This window comes from Homo sapiens, chromosome 4, assembly GCF_000001405.40.
Source record: "Homo sapiens chromosome 4, GRCh38.p14 Primary Assembly".
Taxonomy (NCBI): Eukaryota; Metazoa; Chordata; class Mammalia; order Primates; family Hominidae; genus Homo; species Homo sapiens.
In genome coordinates, this window is record NC_000004.12 from 86945009 (window position 1) to 86962543 (window position 17535).

At 40.6% G+C, this 17535-nt stretch overlaps 1 protein-coding gene and 1 pseudogene across 9 annotated transcripts in view, besides 5 other annotated features; one reads left to right on the forward strand and one right to left on the reverse strand.

Annotated features, from left to right (window-relative positions):
* AFF1 (ALF transcription elongation factor 1) overlaps window positions 1–17535 on the forward strand; it is a 206029-nt gene that overhangs the window by 9998 nt on the left and 178496 nt on the right. For all 9 annotated transcript variants that reach the window (XM_005263007.4, XM_047415702.1, NM_001166693.3 and 6 more), the window contains exon 2: window positions 3490–3563. In XM_005263007.4, coding sequence (XP_005263064.1) covers window positions 3526–3563 — 38 coding nt within the window. In that variant the 5' untranslated portion in view covers window positions 3490–3525. The remainder of the gene's footprint in view (window positions 1–3489; window positions 3564–17535) is intronic.
* TECRP1 (trans-2,3-enoyl-CoA reductase pseudogene 1) lies at window positions 4550–5102 on the reverse strand (annotated as a pseudogene).
* Window positions 12342–12391: an enhancer, noted in NCBI's record as "active region_21697". NCBI's record gives its function as "activates an Ori minimal core promoter by ATAC-STARR-seq in GM12878 lymphoblastoid cells {active_cell/tissue: GM12878}" and the evidence as "EXISTENCE:reporter gene assay evidence [ECO:0000049][PMID:35858748]".
* Window positions 12919–13502: an enhancer, noted in NCBI's record as "H3K27ac-H3K4me1 hESC enhancer chr4:87879079-87879662 (GRCh37/hg19 assembly coordinates)". NCBI's record gives its function as "activates a minimal SCP1, AML or CMV promoter by ChIP-STARR-seq in naive H9 embryonic stem cells {active_cell/tissue: H9 hESC(naive)}" and the evidence as "EXISTENCE:reporter gene assay evidence [ECO:0000049][PMID:30033119]".
* Window positions 14212–14884: an enhancer, noted in NCBI's record as "OCT4-NANOG-H3K27ac hESC enhancer chr4:87880372-87881044 (GRCh37/hg19 assembly coordinates)". NCBI's record gives its function as "activates a minimal SCP1, AML or CMV promoter by ChIP-STARR-seq in primed H9 embryonic stem cells {active_cell/tissue: H9 hESC(primed)}" and the evidence as "EXISTENCE:reporter gene assay evidence [ECO:0000049][PMID:30033119]".
* Window positions 14885–15556: an enhancer, noted in NCBI's record as "OCT4-NANOG-H3K27ac hESC enhancer chr4:87881045-87881716 (GRCh37/hg19 assembly coordinates)". NCBI's record gives its function as "activates a minimal SCP1, AML or CMV promoter by ChIP-STARR-seq in naive and primed H9 embryonic stem cells {active_cell/tissue: H9 hESC(naive and primed)}" and the evidence as "EXISTENCE:reporter gene assay evidence [ECO:0000049][PMID:30033119]".
* Window positions 15729–16023: a silencer, noted in NCBI's record as "tiled region #10323; K562 Repressive non-DNase unmatched - State 5:Enh". NCBI's record gives its function as "represses a minimal TATA promoter and a strong SV40 promoter by Sharpr-MPRA in K562 cells {active_cell/tissue: K562}" and the evidence as "EXISTENCE:reporter gene assay evidence [ECO:0000049][PMID:27701403]".

The window sequence follows — 17535 nt, forward strand, 5'->3', positions numbered from 1 at the left end:
ATGTACATTCCTGCCATGGAACATTCCAAAATGAAATAAAGTTTGCATCATTCACATAAAATTTAGTGTGGATATAGCTGCTACCATGTGTCAGTGTGCTAGGTATTTTAGCTAGGTGATATAATATATGCTTCTCAGTTACTCTGGAAGGTAGGAAGGTCTCTGTTTTACACATAGGGGCATGGAGGCTGATAGAGCTTAACTTGTCCAAGGTGATCATGCAGCTCACTTGAGCCTAGCTGCTTTCTGCTGTACAGCACTACTCTGTTTTTAAATAGAGCCAAGTTAGTATCTTCCTTATTTTCTTTTCCTTTTTTTTTTTTTTTTTTTTTTTGAGGCAGGGCCTTGTTTTTTCACACAGGCTGAAGTGCAGTGGTGTGATCACAGCTCACTGTAGCCTCCACCTCCTGGGTTCAAGCTACCCTCTCACCTTAGCCTTTTGAGTAGCTGGGACCACAGACATGTGCCACCTTGCCCAGCCTTTCCCAATTTTTTTTTTTTTTTTTTTTTTTTAGACAGGGTCTCTGTTACCCAGGCTGCAGTGCAGTGGCACAGATCACAGTTCACTGCAGCTTCCTCCTTCCTGGGCTCAACCAATCCTCCTGCCTCAGCCTCCTCAGTAGCTAGGACTACAGGCATGTGCCACCATGCCCAGCTAATTTTTCTATTTTTGTAGAGACAAGGTGTCACTGTGTTTCCAGGGCTGATCTTGAACTTAAGCAGTCCTTCTACCTTGGCCTCCCAAAGTGTTGGGATTACAGGCATGAGCCACCATGCTTGGCCCATGGAGGATTATATTGAAAGATTGATAGCATAACAGAATAAAAGGTGAAAATGCCCTTTTAAATCTCCTGCTCTGGCCTCTTCACCAAAGCTCTTCCCTTTCCAGAAAGCTACTATTAACAGTTTGGTATATGCTATTCCAAACTTTGTGTGTATGCATAAACTTAAAGCATTAAACAAAAAATTGGCTCACATTGTACATTTTATTTAGATCTTGCTTAGATTAACCCATGTGGTTCTTTTTGATGTTTTAAGGCATCTCATTATGATGTATCTGTAGTGCTCCTGAGCGGTGAGACCTGGGGGGTTGCTCACTCCTTCAGTTTTCTACTTATCAGTCCCGAGGACCCTTTTCCACTACAGATCTCTATGGCTTGCTCCTCACTTTAAGTCTTTGCTCAAATGTTGTGTTCTCTGACCACCCTACGTAGAACCGCAATACCCTACCTTGATTCCTCTCTGCACTCCCATTTTGCTTTTCTAACATCTATATATTTTACTGAATGTGTCTTTGCTTACCTTCTGTAGTATGTAAGCTCAATGGTAGCAAGAGTCTTTTCTTCACTATATTTTTTATGTTTTTTGAGGCAGGGCCTTGCTGTGTTACCCAGGCTGGAGGGCAGTGGTGCAATTTCAGCTCACTGCAACCTACATCACCCCCACCCCCCACCCACCCCCACCTGCATCCCTACTCAAGCAGTCCTCCCACCTCAGCCTCTTAAGTAGAGTAGCTGGGAACACAGGCATGCACCTCCACACCTGGCTATTTATTTTTATATTTAGCAGAGACGGGTCTTGTCATGTTGCCCAGGCTGGTCTTGAACTCCTGAGCTCAAGCATTCAGCCAACCCTGGCCTCCCAAAGTGCTGGGATTACAGGTGCACACCCGGCCCACTCTCTTTATTCTTAGTACCTGGCTTACAGCAGATGCTCAGGATACATTTGTTGGTTCTGTCAGTCAGTCAACAAACAAGTGAACTCAGGACCCCTCTCAGATTGATAGCCACCCAACAGCCCAACCTGTCTCCTTTTCTCCTGTTATCACTCTCCACCAAAGAGCCCTAGGGGTGGGTGCTATTGGGTTGCAAGCAGGTTGAGCATCTTCACTGGGAGGGTAATGTGGGGAACTGCCATCAGGGACTCTTCAGATGCCTCTACAGAAGTGTTATGAAGAATAATGCCAACAGGAATACAATAGTGTTTTATTGATCACTTACTGTGTGCCAGCCCTGCAAGTCAAGAGAGAGAAAGTGTGAGCAGCAAAGGCAGGGGTAGAGCTAGCGATGCAGAGAAAGAGAAAAAGGAGAAAGTGAGCGATAGTAAGTGGTGAGGGAAGGGAAGGGAGACTAGTGGGGATTGAGTTGGAGAATTGAGAAAACTTGCCTAGGGGGCCACTATTGCTGGTCAGAAGAGTGACACATGTTTGACCCTGAAAAGTAGATCTCTGCTAGTGTGAGTTTAACTAGAATATTTTAACATCCATGCTGCAATCTTTTGAGAGAGGAGAAAGAGTGGCAAATTATGTCTGCTAGTATGGAAACATGTAGTTAGCAAGTCAGCAATTTAAATTTCATGGAGAGGGAGATAAAAGACCTTATCGGGAGTAAGAATAGAGCTGTGAAGGACTATATTCAGTGTTTCAACCTCAGCCAAAGTTGTAACAGCCTCTTAAACAGAGGCAAGTTAAAATGATTACAAATTTAATGTGTGTTTCCATTTGTATCAAATGGTTTGTCCAGTCTGTACTAAGATAATTTAGTAACATACCTTTCTTTGCCTTAAGGATGTTTGAAAAGTAAAACAAACTATTTAATGCAAGTTAGGATAAGTGTAGTCAATTTATAAATACTCACTAGAGAGGGAAAAGGAAACAGCTGTAGACAGTGTTAACCATAAAGAGAGGTTGTTTCCAGAGTTACCCAAGATAGTACCAAGACTATCTGCCCAGATTGGATAATAATTTTTCCCCCAAATTCAGTCTTGTTTTGAAAGAATGCCCAATAGTTGTTTTATTTCGGTTTTTGTTTGTTTTTTTTTTGTTTTGATTAAGTACCTTTAATGAGTGGAAGTAAAATCTTAAGATTGATTGTCACTGGGACCCACTTTTCTTAAGTGTTGCATTCTTATGTGAGAATGACCTGTTGATTTCCTTTCTCTTGCATAGTTGACACTCTTACCTTTTCTTCCTTTTAATTCTAGTGAGGATGCTGACACAACCTGTGACCTTAGGCAAATTACTTAAAACTAAGTCTACATTTCTTGGTTGTTTTTTTTTGTGTGTGTTTGAGTCTCCATTTTCTTAACTATAAAATGGGATATTAGTATCTGCCTTGCAACTTTATTGTAATGTATTAATGAAATGCCATTTTTAAAAGGGCTTATTTATATTTAACACAATGCTTGGCACAAAGTAGGCACCAGGGGAATGGTATTTCCTTTTCTCCTCCCCCTCCTCCTTATGGTAAACTTGTGCACATTGTTTTCTTGCTGAAATGGCTTTGAGAAGCAGCCTCACAGTTAAAAGTGCAATTGGCCTTTGATATATACTAGATAGTTTGTTCATACAACTTGGGAATTGGAGAACCATTTTCTAATTCAAATGAGAACTTGGAATTCTGTCTCCAATAAAGCTTCTTACAGGTCATGCGTATCCCTGAATTTACTCACAGGCTAATGTTCACAGGCTACTCTTTGTTTCTCTTTCAGATGAACAGACTAGCCACTTTGCATTGACTGGAAACAATGGCATTTACAGAAAGAGTCAACAGCAGTGGCAACAGGTAAGCATAGAATCTATGATTCAAAGACATGCTGATATTTAATTTTATAATCTACTTTTCAATGAATAAGTTTGGTCTTTTTCAATTTTGCAACTTAAGAACTCACGGGTGCAAGAAAATGTTTGAAATTTTCAGTTTTCTCTACATGAAGTCAAACTTGTTGGACTGGCTACATATTTTCTTTTAAATCTAGCAATCGCTGAGTCTGTTAACTCATTTTTTTTAAAAATGTGGATGTTAATTTAAATGATTAAATCAGCATTCTAATGCTGTGTTCAGGATAACAAGATTGCACTGATTTGGGGAAAGCATACACATGTTCAGCCTGTGCTTGAAATAAATAAACAAATCCATCTCATCCTGAAAGCTGTGAAGGAGGGAATTCCTTCATATTTGTATTTTGCCCCTTTCACATCTCTCCCTCCAACTCTGCACACACAATTTAGTGCCTTCTTGCATATAGTAATTGATCAGTGTTGATTGAGGGGATCATATTAACATTTTGAAGCAGTTTTACATAATAACTCATTTGACATTCGGAAAGAATTGTTATCACTGATTAGTTTTTATTTAAAGTATTAGCTATTCAAAAATATATATATATATATATTTTTTTTTTTTGAGATGGAGTCTCAGTCTGTTGCCCAGGCTGGAGTGCAGTGGTGTGACCTCAGTTCACTGCAGCCTCCACCTCCCAGGTTCAAGCAATTCTGCCTCAGCCTCCCAAGTATCTGGGATTCACCATGTTGACCACGCTGGTCTCTAACCCCTGACCTCAGGTGATCCCCCTGCCTCGGCCTCCCAAAGTGCTGGAATTACAGGCGTGAGCCTCTGCGCTACTCCAAAAACGTATTAAATGTTTTTAAATGTTACTACTACCCCTTGTAGTAACATTCTAGCAATTGCAGAGTTGTTTTTATTGTTACTTTTATCATAATTTCTATTTATTAATTATTATTATTATTATTTTTTTTTTTTTTTTTTTCCCGACTGGGGCAGGCGGGCTTTATTCCGGGTGCTGGAGAGCTGTGGGCCCCACTCCTCCCCCAGAATGCCACCGGGTTGAGGGGCTGAGCCTCAGCAGGGGTGAGCGCTCAGAGCAGGAAGGGGATGATGGGCATGCGCAGGGGCGGGTAGTCCCGGAACTCCTTCAGGTAGCTGCGGTGCTTGCCCTTGGCCCAGATGGTCATCTGGGTGAAGCCCACCAGGGAGAACAGGGCCACTGGGAGACACTGCGTCATGATGGCGAAACCGATCCAGGACCCCACCTCGTAGGTGTAGTTGGGGCAGGACACCAGCAGGAAGAGCCACGTGAAGGGGTTCTTGGTGGGGTATGGGATCTTCCGCGTCTTGGACCCAGCGGGCCGCAGGTCCCGCAGGGCCATGTGGATGGAGAAGTTGCCGAGCTGGCAGATCACAAAGATGGCGAGCGCCAGTTTCACCTGCTGAGCTCCGTAGGTAGGGGGAGTGTAGAGAGGGTGATTGATGTAATAGGCCATCCACGCGGCGAAGCCCCAGTAGTAGGTGCAGTTCTGAAAGGGAGCAGGGCAGGGATGGGACTTGGGCCAGCACCGGACAAGGCAGATGCTGCCCATGTCTCATCCCGAGGTATTATTATTTTTTTAAGACAAAGTTTCGCTATTGTTGCCCCGGCTGGAGTGCAGTGCCATGATCTTGGCTCACTGCAACCTCTGCCTCCCGGGTTCAAGGGATTCCCCTGCCTCAGCCTCCCAATTAGCTGGGACTACAGGCGCATGCCCCGACACCTGGCTAATTTTTGGTAGAGACGGGGTTTCACCATGTTGGCAGGCTGGCCCCGAATTCCTAACCTCAGGTGATCCACCTGCCTTGGCCTCCCAAAGTGCTGGGATTACAGGCGTGAGCCGCTGTGCCCAGCCATAATTTCTATTTATAATAGAATTCTTTTCCCACTTCTTGCTACTGCATTTCACTAGTCTAAAAAATAAAAACATTATAAGAAATGTAGACTCAGACTTATTTATAATGCAACAGAATAGATGATGGTGCCTGCAATTGTGGACCATCCCAAATGTTCTCCTACTTCTCCCCCTTTCTGGTTCATTTAGGAAATTATTCAATTCCTGGTCATCATTGTGGGCTGCTAAACTTGGTTTACTCTCTCCCCTCACCAAAGGGAAGACAGTTAGTTGACCCTGGCTGCTGCAGTTCACATTCTGCTAGAGCCTGGGGGAAAGCTGTTGTCATTTGTCTTTAGGTTTATTCATAATGTTGGGTTTACACATACGTTTTACATTTTTATGTAGTTAAATGTCTTGTCCTTTATGGGTTCTGGCTTGATTGTGCTTAGAAAGGTCTTTCCTCCTCCAAGATTGTGAAAATAATGTCATGTGTTCTTTGCTGGCACTTGTACGATTTCATTTTTGCATTTAAATCAGAACTTGTAAGCTGGTGGACTGTGGGACAGATCTGGTCAACATATGGGTTTTGGTTAGCCTGTCACGGAATTCTGAAAGAAATTATCTGCCAGTGTTTTTTACATAACAATCTTCTATCTTCTCATGAAAAATGTAAGATTTAGCAACCCTGGGCTTGCATTGTCATATAGCAATGCTCAGAAAGAATTGAATAGCTTCGGCTCTTTTAAGCGGAACACAGGCTTTCTAATTCAGAACTTCCCAATTGGTGTGCCATCAAATGCTTTTCAGGTGTGCCACGATGTTGATTCCCCGCCCCCCAGCCTAAAGGTCAGCCAGAGCTCCTATCTAATTTCCTCCTGCAGACATCATCTGCTTTGTCCGTTTGCCCCAGAGACTTGATGTCACAAAAAAAAAAAATTGAGAAAGCACTGACGCTTTTCAATTCGTTACAGTTCTCTGCACAGCCAGATTCACACATTTAGTTAGCTGCTTGACCCTCTTAACTTGCAACCCATTTTACATCTTTGACTTTTTAGTATTTTGATCCACATGTAGTTAACTTGAATATATATTGTACATTTCATATTAATAGGAAAAGGTAAAGATGGGGGATGTTAGGGAACTTTTTTTTCTTTTTCTTTTTTCTTTTTTTCTTTTTTTTTTTTTTTTTTGAGACGGAGTCTCCCTCTGTCACCAGGCTGAAGTGCAGTGGCATGATCTTGGCTCACTACAACCTCCACCTCCAGGTTCAAGCAATTCTCCTGCCTCAGCCTCCTGAGTAGCTGGGACTACAGGCACACCATGCCCAGCTAATTTTTGTATTTTTAGTAGAGACGGGTTTCACCATGTTGGCCAGGATGGTCTCGATATCTTGACCTCATGATCTGCCCGCCTTGGCCTCCCAAAGTGCTGGGATTACAGGCGTGGGCCACCACATCTGGCTGGGAACCTTTTTTTTTTTTTTTTTAAAGCAAAAAGCTAGACAATTGTTTCATCATTTTTTATTAAATCACCTGTCTTTTCTCCACAGATACAAATGCTATGTCTAAATTTTATCACAGTCTTGGGTCTGTTGTTGGGCTGTCTTTTGCTCCATTGATGTGTCTTTTGGCAACTGTGGCATATTGTTTCACTGTATCTTTATATGTCATAATATTGAGGCAGATTCTTTGTAATTCTTGTTTTTAGAATTTTCATAGCTATTCATTCTCATGCTTCTCAGTGTATTCTGAAGTCATTCATCATTTTCTAGAAAATTTATGATTGGCATTTTGATTGGAATCCCTTGGAATTCATCAGTTAGAGTTGACTACTGTAGGCTATTAAAACGTCTTCCTATAAGAATGTAGATATCAGACTGGTGAAAATTTAAGGAGCTGAAGTAATTTTAAATTTTAATTGTAAGATTTTCGTGGAGGTGATTTTTCAAAAAGGTTTAGTTACTGATGTTGGTTCCTGTGTTATTTCTGGTAGATGAATCAATTATATTAGGTAAAAGTATTATCATTGGCATGATTAAAAAGATGTTTTAGCTTAAAACCTAAATGATGGGTTGATAGGTACAGCAAGCCACCACAGCATGTGTATACAACCTGCATGTTCTGCACATGTATGTAACAAACCTGCATGTTCTGCACGTGTGTTTAACAAACCTGCATGTTCTGCACATGTATCCCAGGACTTAAAGTAAAAAAAAACAAAAAAACAAAAACACAACTTTTTTTTTTTTTTTTTTTGAGATGGAGTCTCACTCTGTCCCTCAGGCTGGAGTGCAGTGGCGTGATCTTGGCCCCTCTGCCTCCCGGGTTCAAGCGTTTCTCCTGCCTCAGCCTCCTGAGTAGCTGGCACTACAGGCACCCACCACCACGCCCGGCTACTTTTTGTATTTTGTATTTTTTATTTATTTATTTATTTTCAGTAGAGATGTGGTTTCACCATATTGTCCAGGCTGGTCTCAAACTCCTGACCTTGTGTTCCCCTCCACCCCCACTACCCACCCCCACCTTCAGCCTCCCAAAGTGCTAGGATTACAGGCCTGAGCCATGGCGCCCAGCAAAAAGAAAAAAGATACTTTATATTCTATGACATATTTTTTTTGTTTTGCTAGTTATTAAGTTTGGATGGGTAACTGCCCCTTATAGTAACATTCTAGCAATTACAGAGCTGTTTTTATTATTTGTTACTTTTATCATAATTTCTAGCTCCTCACCTCCTCAATATGCTCCTTTTAGTTTTAGTACCTACTACAAGTGGTAAGTTTGGGGATATCCTTTAAAAAGCTCTATTTTTAATACACACCAGTAGCTCACTTGTTTAAATGTTTAATCATGATAGGTATTTAATCTTTTATTTGCCCAGAAAAAAACATTAAATTCATGTGGAACTGGTCCAGGACTAGGATATATTTGCAAAGGAAACAGATGTGTATTGAGTACGCAGCTCTAATCATTCAAACTAAATTGAAGTCTGAACGTGAACCCTTACTTTGCTCAGGGCTATCAAAAGTCATAAGCGTGGACAGAATATTAATGTAATGTGCAAAGACAATGTTTTAGTTCTTACAAATAATGAGCTTATTCTGTGACTTCCAGATTTATCGGCACTTGACACTGTTGAATTTGAGCTCACTTATATTTCTTCACCTTCCTTCCGTCCCCCTTTTTAATAGTTCTTTCTAAAAATTGTTATTGGAGTCTAACAGACTGAAAAAGGCAGACATTATTAGTACAGTTTAGTGCATTTTCTTTTCTTTTTTCTTTTTTTTTTGAGATGGAGTTTTGCTCTTGTCGCCCAGGCTGGAATGCAATGGCGCGATCTCGGCTCACTGGAACCTCCATCTCCTGGGTTCAAGCGATTCTCCTGCTTCAGCCTCCCGAGTAGCTGGCGCACCACCACGCCCAGCTAATTTTTGTACGTTTTTAGTAGAGACGGGGTTTCACCATGTTGGCCAGGCTGGGCTCAAACTCCTGACCTTAGGTGATCTACCTGCCTCGGCCTCTCAAAGTGCTGGGATTACAGGCGTGAGCCACCGTGCCCGGCCTAGTTCAGTGCATTTTCATAAAGTGAACACATGTAACAGATTAAGACCAGCTGTCTAGAACTCCTCTCCTTTCCCCTTTCAGCTACTACCTCCCTTAAAAGTCATCACTGTTCTGACTTGTAACACCCTGCATTTGTTTTGTCTGCTTTTCAATTTGATTTAAATATAATCATATAGCATATACTCCTTTATAAAGTTTCCATTCATTTTGATGTTTGTATTAGTTAACCTTCAAACACTGTGAGGTTTAGGGGTAAAATATCTACATGACTTTTGGCTCCCTAAAAGCTTAACTACTAATTAGCCTACAGTTGACTGGAAGCCTTATGAATAACATAAACAGCTGATTAACACATATTTTGATATGTATTAAGTAGTGTATTCTTACAATAAAGTAAGCTAGAGAAAAGAAAATGTTATTAAAATCATTTCTAGGCATGGTGGCTAATGCCTGTAATCCCAGCACTTTGAGAGGCTGAGGTGGGCAGACTGCTTGAGTCCAGGAATTCATTCGAGACCAGCCTGGGCAACATGGTTAAACCCTGTCTCTACAAAAAATACAAAAATTAGCCACCTGTAGTCCCAGCTACTGACAGGGGTCCAGGTGGGGTAAAGGCCTGAGGTGGGAGGATTGCTTGAGCCTGGAAGGTCAAGGCTGTGGTGAGCCAAGATTGCACCACTGCACTCCAGCCTGGGTGACAGAGCAAGACCCTGTCTCAAAAAAATCTTAAGATAAAATGTATTTACTGTTCATTAAGTGGAAGTGGATCATCATAAAGGTCTTCATTCTCATCCTCTTTATGCTGAGTGAAAGAGGAAAGTCTTCATGTCTCTGAAGCAGAAGAAAATCCATGTCAATGGACTTGTGCAGTTCAAGCCCATGGGGTATTTTTATTTCTTCTGTTCAATATATTTAAATATCTTTATCATATATTTTATATTAGTATATTACTTATGTAATCACTTTACCTTTTACATTCTTTTCCCATCAACTTCTCATAGTCTAAGATGATAATGTAATTATCCTTTTTGTTCCACCTTGTGACTGTCATCTACCCTCCAGCTATTCTTTCTGCTTTTGGTTTTAAATTATCCAGATTTCCAGATTAATAGCCTATTTTATTTTATGATTATTTGTGCCCTTGCAAGCTTTGTCTTTAAAATGACAATAAAAGTGGAAAAACCAATAAGCATTATTTACATTGTTTTGATTGAGAAGGAAAATCGTGTCTAGGATTTTATTTCTCCTCCAGCGTCAACTCAAATACCACTTGAACAGAATGTTCATATTGATTAGGACTAATGAACTATCATTAACTGAATAAATTGTTCAAACGCCAAATTTTAAATTGCTTCATCTTTGAATAGTGCTTTTGCTTTGCTTGGACTTTCTAATTTCTTTTTCCTTATTGAAAGAGAGAATGTGCCTTTTTGCCATTTCACTAACATGTTCCCCTTCTTACTCTTTTGTATCAACTGCTTGAAATGTCTCATTTTCTCCTTGGAATCTTGAAACTAAAATTAATTTTTACAAAGTGTGTGCTAAATTACATTCTTCTGAAATTGGGCCCAGGTAACTGAAGCCAGAGAGTAAAGTTGGGATATATTCTGGGAAATTTTTTACTTGAGGACAGGGGGAAAACATGTTAAAATAAACCATAAGAATGAAGTAAATGTCATTTCAGGCTATACCACCAAATGGGTGGGACATGATTTTATCGTCTTCTGCCATTCAGAGTGGGTACTGAAGTGTTTTAGGAGATTTGCTGAGATGCTTTTCAGTTTTTGGGAAGATTTGAGGGATTGGATTTTGTTAACCTTGCATCATATAGGATGGAATACTGTAGCCCCTGGAAGCTCTCCTTTTCGAGTTTGAATTGATGTTTAACTCTCCTAATTGAGAAGAATTCTCAATTATTGAGGAAGCTACAAGGTGTTCAACAGATTAACACCTATTATATGGACAGATCTTCTTTGTGCAAGTAAATCAAGGGCCAAACTTCTAGATGCTTACTAGAGAGTTTAATGGCTGTAGGCCATGTTTTCCTGAAATAGTGATTGGCCTGGGCATTGTAAATAGTGCACACCTGGAATTGTGAAATGAGGAAATAAGGTTTCCTGCATTTTCAAGTGAACTAGTTTCTGGCCTGATTTACAAGTGCAATAATATTTCTTATACAAAACACCTTGTTTTCCCTCATTTTAGAAAATGATTGCTAACTGATAAGTATGTGTCATTGTCATATGTAGTTTAAGATGAGTCACTCAGTTTGATGGGTTTAGAAGAGTTTAGATTCAGACTTACCTGAGAACTGAGGAAATATTTTTTTGGAATTAGTTATTTCCCAAAAGGAAAGCTAAATTTTGCATATAAGAAGACACTGCTACATAGTATTTACTCTTCTACAAGTGGCATAGTCATCTTAGAAAACAACAGAAGTAACTTTATTGAGGTGTAATTTACAAGCTATTTTAAGTATACAGTTTAATTTTTAGTAACTTTACTGAGTTGTGCAACCATTACTACAATCCAGCTTTAGAACATTTTCATCTAGATGGAACTACCTGTTTACAGTTAATCCCATTTTCATTCCCAGCCCCAGGTAACTATTAATCCTCAATAATTTTGCCTATTCTGGACATTTTATATAAGTGCAATCATACAATATGTTAATTTTTGTGACTGGCTTCTTAGGATAAAGTTTTCAAGATTCATCCATATTACAGCATGTATCAGTTTTTCAGTCCTTTTTATTGCTAAATAATATTCCATTGCATAGATGTGCCATCTTGTACTATTCATCAGTTAATGGACATTTAGGTAGTATCCACTTTTTTGTTTTTATGAGCAATGTTCCACATATGTTTTTATTTCTTTTGGGCAGATGTTTAGGAGAGGAATTGCTTGCCTCTAAGGTAGGTTTCTGTTTGGAGTCATCTTTATTTTAAGCTCACAAGCCATTGTGCCTGGGGTCACTTTTGTTTATTTGCATGTACTTTTTCTCTGTCTTTAGCCCTGAACTCCCTGCTGAGGCTGAGAGTTGGAGGAGAATGAATTAATATTAATAATTATTTTGTGCCTTCAGTATAGTGGACACTAGTCCAGGCATTTGGCATTATATCATTTTAGGTGCTAAACTTGGTCCAGGTGGTAGATAAGATGAACACTGAGTTGAATTGCTGGGGATAACATTGTCTTTGTAGGGATACTAATTTTATACTGTCTTGATGTGGGAAAGAACCATTTTTCTTTCTGGAGGCCTTCCATTATAACAGTACTTTTCTTCTGAAGCCATACTAGTCAGCCTACTTTAGGAAGAAGAGAATTTCAGTTCCAGTTTCTCCTGTTTTGCAGAAGCTGGGGAACCATTATTTCAAAATCTGAGTCATGTTTTCTATGCTCTGTAAGGTATTCATATCAGTAGCCTAATTTTACTGGAGAAAGCAAAAGCCTGGAGAGACCTTCATAGCTGAGTATGTGAATCAGACTGTGGGGAATGCTGGGGCAACTAGTTCATTTTTGGTTGGAAATTTTTTTTTCTTTTTTCTTGAGATGGAATCTCACTCTGTTGCCCAGGCTGGAGTGCAGTGTTGTGATCTCCGCTCACTGCAACCTCTGCCTCTTGGGTTCAAGCAATTCTCCTGCCCCAGCCTCCCAAGTATCTGGGACTACAGGTGCATGCCACCACACCTGGCTAATTTTTTATTTTTAATAGAGACAGGGTTTCACCATGTTGGCCAGGCTGGTCTCAAACTCCTGACCTCAGGTGATCCTCCCACCTCAGCCTCCCAAAGTGCTGGGATTACAGGCGTGAGCCACCATGCCCAGCCCTGAGCCACTGCGCCTAGCCTGATTTTGCCATACTTAAAAAAACAAACAAACAACTATCCTTTTTCCTCTTTTTCTTTGCTGAACTATTTTAAAGCAAATTCCATTTCACTTCTTCATACTTTATGTGCATCTCTAAAAATATATGGACATTTCCCTACTTAAATACATACCCGTCTCACACCTAATAAAATTAACATCTTGGATTCGTCTAATACCTAGTCTATCTCTGAACTTTTTCTTTTTTTTTCCTTTTTTTTTTTTTTTTTTTGAAACGGAGTTTCACTCTTGTTGCCCAAGCTGGAGTGCAGTGGTGCCATCTGGGCTCACTGCAACTTCCACCTCTCAGGTTCAAGCAATTCTTCTGCCTCAGCCTCCCGAGTAGCTGAGATTACAGGTGCACATCACCATGCCTGGCTAATTTTTTGTATTTTTAGTAGAAACGGGGTTTCACCATGTTAGGCTGGTCTCAAACTCCTGACCTCAAGTGATCTGCCCAACTCAGCCTCCCAAAGTGCTGGGATTACAGGCGTGAGTCACCGTGCCCGGCCCCAAACTTTCTAGATTGTTTTAAAATGTCTTTTAAAATTGTTTTTAGCCAGGTGCGGTGGCTCATGCCTGTAATTCCAGCATTTTGGGAGGCCACGGTGGGTAAATCACCTGAGGGTCAGGAGTTCGAGACCAGCCTGACCTACATGGTGAAACCCCGTCTCTACTGAAAATAAAAAATTAGCCGGGTGTGGTGGTACGTGCCTGTAGTCCCAGCTACTCGGGAGGCTGAGGCAGGCGAACCACTTCAACCCAGGAGGCAGAGGTTGCAGTGAGCCGAGATTGTGCCACTGCACTCCAGCCTGGGAGACAGAGTAAGACTCTCTCAAAAAAATAAAATAAAATAAATAATAAATAATAAAATTGTCTTCATCTTGATCCAAGGAAACCAAAGTTCACATATTGCATTAGGTTTTGTTTCTTGAGTCTTAATCCAGAGCAGCATTTACTCTATTTACTTGTGGGGTGGGAGCATTTACTAGTTAAGGAAACAGTTGCATGTATGTCCTACTTCTTGGATTTGTTTGTTTCCTATTAATGCGTTTAACTTGTTTCGATATAGCAGTAGTTCTCAACGGAGGACAATTTTGTCTCCCTCTCTTCCAGGGGACATTTGACAATGTCTAGAGAGATTTTTAGTCATCACAATCTAGTGAGTAGAGGCCAGGGATGTTATTAAACATCTACAATGCACAGAACAGCCCCCACCACAAATAATTTCCTGGTTTCTAATGTCAATAGTGCTGAGATTGAGAAACTGTCAGCCTATCCCATGTATTTCCTGAAGAATGGAAGTTAGCACTAAAAGCTTGGTTAGAGTCAAGATAACTCTTTTTGCTTAAAATAGTTAAATTGCCCAGGAGTGCCGGTATTCTGTTTTGATCTGGGTGTTGGTTACAAGAGTATATCATTTTGTGAAAATTTATATGTGAGCTCTACACTTTAAAAAATGTGTGTTATTTTTAATTTTAAAAGTTTACATTAAAAAAAGAAACCTCTTTATTGTGTTGGGTCCCTTCCTCTTTTTGTCTGCTACTTCACACTTCTTAAATAGTTGAATAAATCTTTAAAGCCTCACTCCCTTTTAAAGTTCCTTAATACTCTTTTTTTTTTTTTTTTCCCAATGTGAGAGACTGGTAGAGATGGGGGAAAAAATGGGTGCCTTTTGAACTCATTGTTGGGATGGTTGAGTGTCTGTTAGGGAAGTCAGAGTGCTGGTACTTTCCTTGCTCTGCAGAAAATTGCAGAGTTGCCCTAAGGGAGGGACACCTAAACGATAAGTAACGTTAGGCCACTTGGGTTTTGTGTAAAGCTGAAAGGAGAAAGTCATTCCAGATGGGATGGTTTGAAAGCAGAGGTTGGCTTTCATGAGCTGTGGAATTTGGGAAAGGGGCATTCTGGGCTGAAAGAACCAGGGAAGGTAAGGAATGCATTAGGGGTGTGCTGGGAACCTTTTCTTGAGCGATGTCTTAAAGCCAGCTTCTCTTCTCTGTCTCTGATAAATAATTGGAAGGAAAGGCAATGAATTTTTTTCTGACAGTTGGTTCTAACTGGGGGCCAGGGCCTCGTTTGCAAATGAAAGGACTGCTGTTGGAGTAGTTGAAATCACAATGGGCCCTGACTCTTTTCACATCAAAGTGTAAAAGAATCTCCAGGGGTGATAAATGGGGGCTGCTGGACTCATTACTTGTAAACAAAGCTGAGGGATGACCTCTACATTTTTTTTTAATTAAAGGAAAACAGGGTTTCCTAGTGGTGAGCATGGGGCTGCTCTTCGTTTGAATTTTGACTGTTCACACTGGAAAAGATCTTTCTTTAAGGTTACAAGGGAGCTGCCGCTGTTACCCAGGATTTACCCTGAATCTCAAACACTACTGGAAAAATGCTGTGCCTAGGACGGCCCAGCAGGTATCCTGCATGTGTTGAGAATTGAAGTGCAGTGGGTTCCGCTGCGTTGTTACAGTAAAGTGGAACAGGGCAGAATTTCTGAGTGCTGCTCCTCTCAGGAGACTGAGGGCTCCTTTACTCCTTTTCCCACCCGACATCAGGAGGAAAACTCCTTTATTCCTGTGCAGTGTAGAAAAAGGTCCGTTTTTAAGTAAATTCTTAGCTCTTTGTAAAAGAAGTCCAAAGGCAGTGGTTTTAGAGTTTAAAGATAGTATTTCTTTATATTTGTGTAGTTACAAGGCTTTGAGTATGATCAAAACGTTTAACCAAAACTAAAGTATGTGCATACTTTATGGTGTTGAAAGCAATGCTACTAAAAATAGTACAACATTTTATGGGATTAAGATTGCAAATTGCTGCCTAAATTCAGCTTGCAGTTAAGGCCTACCTTCAGTAAACTCTCGTTGTGTAGTCAGCTCCCCACCAAGCTTATCTCTTGCTGTTTTTCCACTTGGCTCCTCTGTTGCAGTCAGTCCAAGCCCTACCAGATTTTAAACAACTGGAGGTCAGAGACTGCCCTTTGTAACCTGAGTGGAACTGGTAAGGCACTGGGCACCCAAGAATTCTAATGTGTTTACTGACTTTCCACATGTTTAGTAATCACCTTCTGAGCCTATCTTCCAAGCAAGTTGTAAGACTTGAGAAAGGAGCAGAGGTCACAGCTGGCAAGGAGCACAGCATCCCTGGATGGTTGACAGAGACAAGCTATCCTCCAGATGAAATATTTCCAACTACAGATGAGAGTATTGAAGGCCTTCCATTCCCCTTTGATATCAGAATGGTGAGAATGTGGGAGACACCACCAGTTAACCCTGCCTTCATGAGTACAGATACCCATGAAAATATTTAATAAGCGCAGTGACCAGACGAGACCTGTGCTAAGTATTTGATAGGCATGCTTTCAATCTCGTAACTCCCTATGAGGTTATGTTTTACAGATGAAAAAGGGAAAAGGAAGATACTCATCAGTGGCTAGCTTCCTTCCATCACCGAACCCTCAAGTCCCTGTTCCCTTTTTGTCTTTGTAGAAGCTGGTGGCAGGGATATACTTTCTGAGCTCTGGTTTAAAACTCTGAGTTTTGGGCCACAGATCCCCTCTAGCTGACTCTTCTTTTTTGACATGAATGAGATAAAAAGTTGTTCCTGGGAGATAGTTTCAGCATGGCTACAGTAGTCAGAGAAACGTGCATCTTTTCCAGTGAAGGAACAAAGCTGATTTCTTTGCACTGGGGCATAGTGGGGGTGTGGGAAGGGGGGGCTGAGTGATGGGAATAGGGGTCACTACTGAGTCATATGGCAGGAAAAAGATGAAAAGATTAGTTACCCAAAAAAAAAAAAATTAAGGAATGGAGGTGGTTCCCATCCTAAATTAGAATCTCCCCAGTTTGCGTTTCAGAGCCCTTTTCATCGCCGTGGTGAGATGATGTGTGCTCTCTCAGAGCACTTTGTGGTCTGTTACAGCATTGCACAGATGTCAGGTGGCTGCCCTGTTAATAAATCAACCTCTCAACGGTTAGAAGTTGTAGCAGTTCTCGTTTTAGATTATCTTTCTACATCCGGCAGAGGCTTACTGTCCCCCGCAGAGCACTTGGTAAACGAGATATGAAATTGTCCTTTAAGAATGGAGGTTTAATTTTCCAGTAGGACAGAGTATTCAATAAATGAGAGTGGAGACTATATTTTATTTGTCTAAAATATATGTTTTTTAAAATGTGTTCCTCAATAGCTGGTAAAGGACAAAGCCAGGGAGTTGAGAGCAAAGGGTATGCACGAGCTGAGATAGCAGGATATTTGGAAAAGTTATTGTTTCTTTTTTTTTTTTTTTTTTTTCCTGTCTCATGTCCTCAACCTGGAGTAGTGACTCTGGTGAGTAGAACACTTCTTACAGGCTCACTGGGACCCTGCCACTAAATTTTCACCTGGAGAGGCAGCCTAATTAAGAGAGAGTTTGCTTTGAAATCAGTTAGATCTGGGTTTGAATTGTATCCCCATGAGACAGGTAATGCTGGGCAATTTTCTTAACCTCTCCAAACTCTAGTTCTTTCATTTGTAAAATAAGGATAATAATGACTAAATATATACATTTATTTAAAGCCCATGGAGTGCTTGGTACTCAATAGACATTTAATAAATATTAATTTTCTTCCCTTTCTGTTGACTTGCCTTTGATAATTTCAGCATTTAGGGTGTGGAGAATTTGAACTTCAT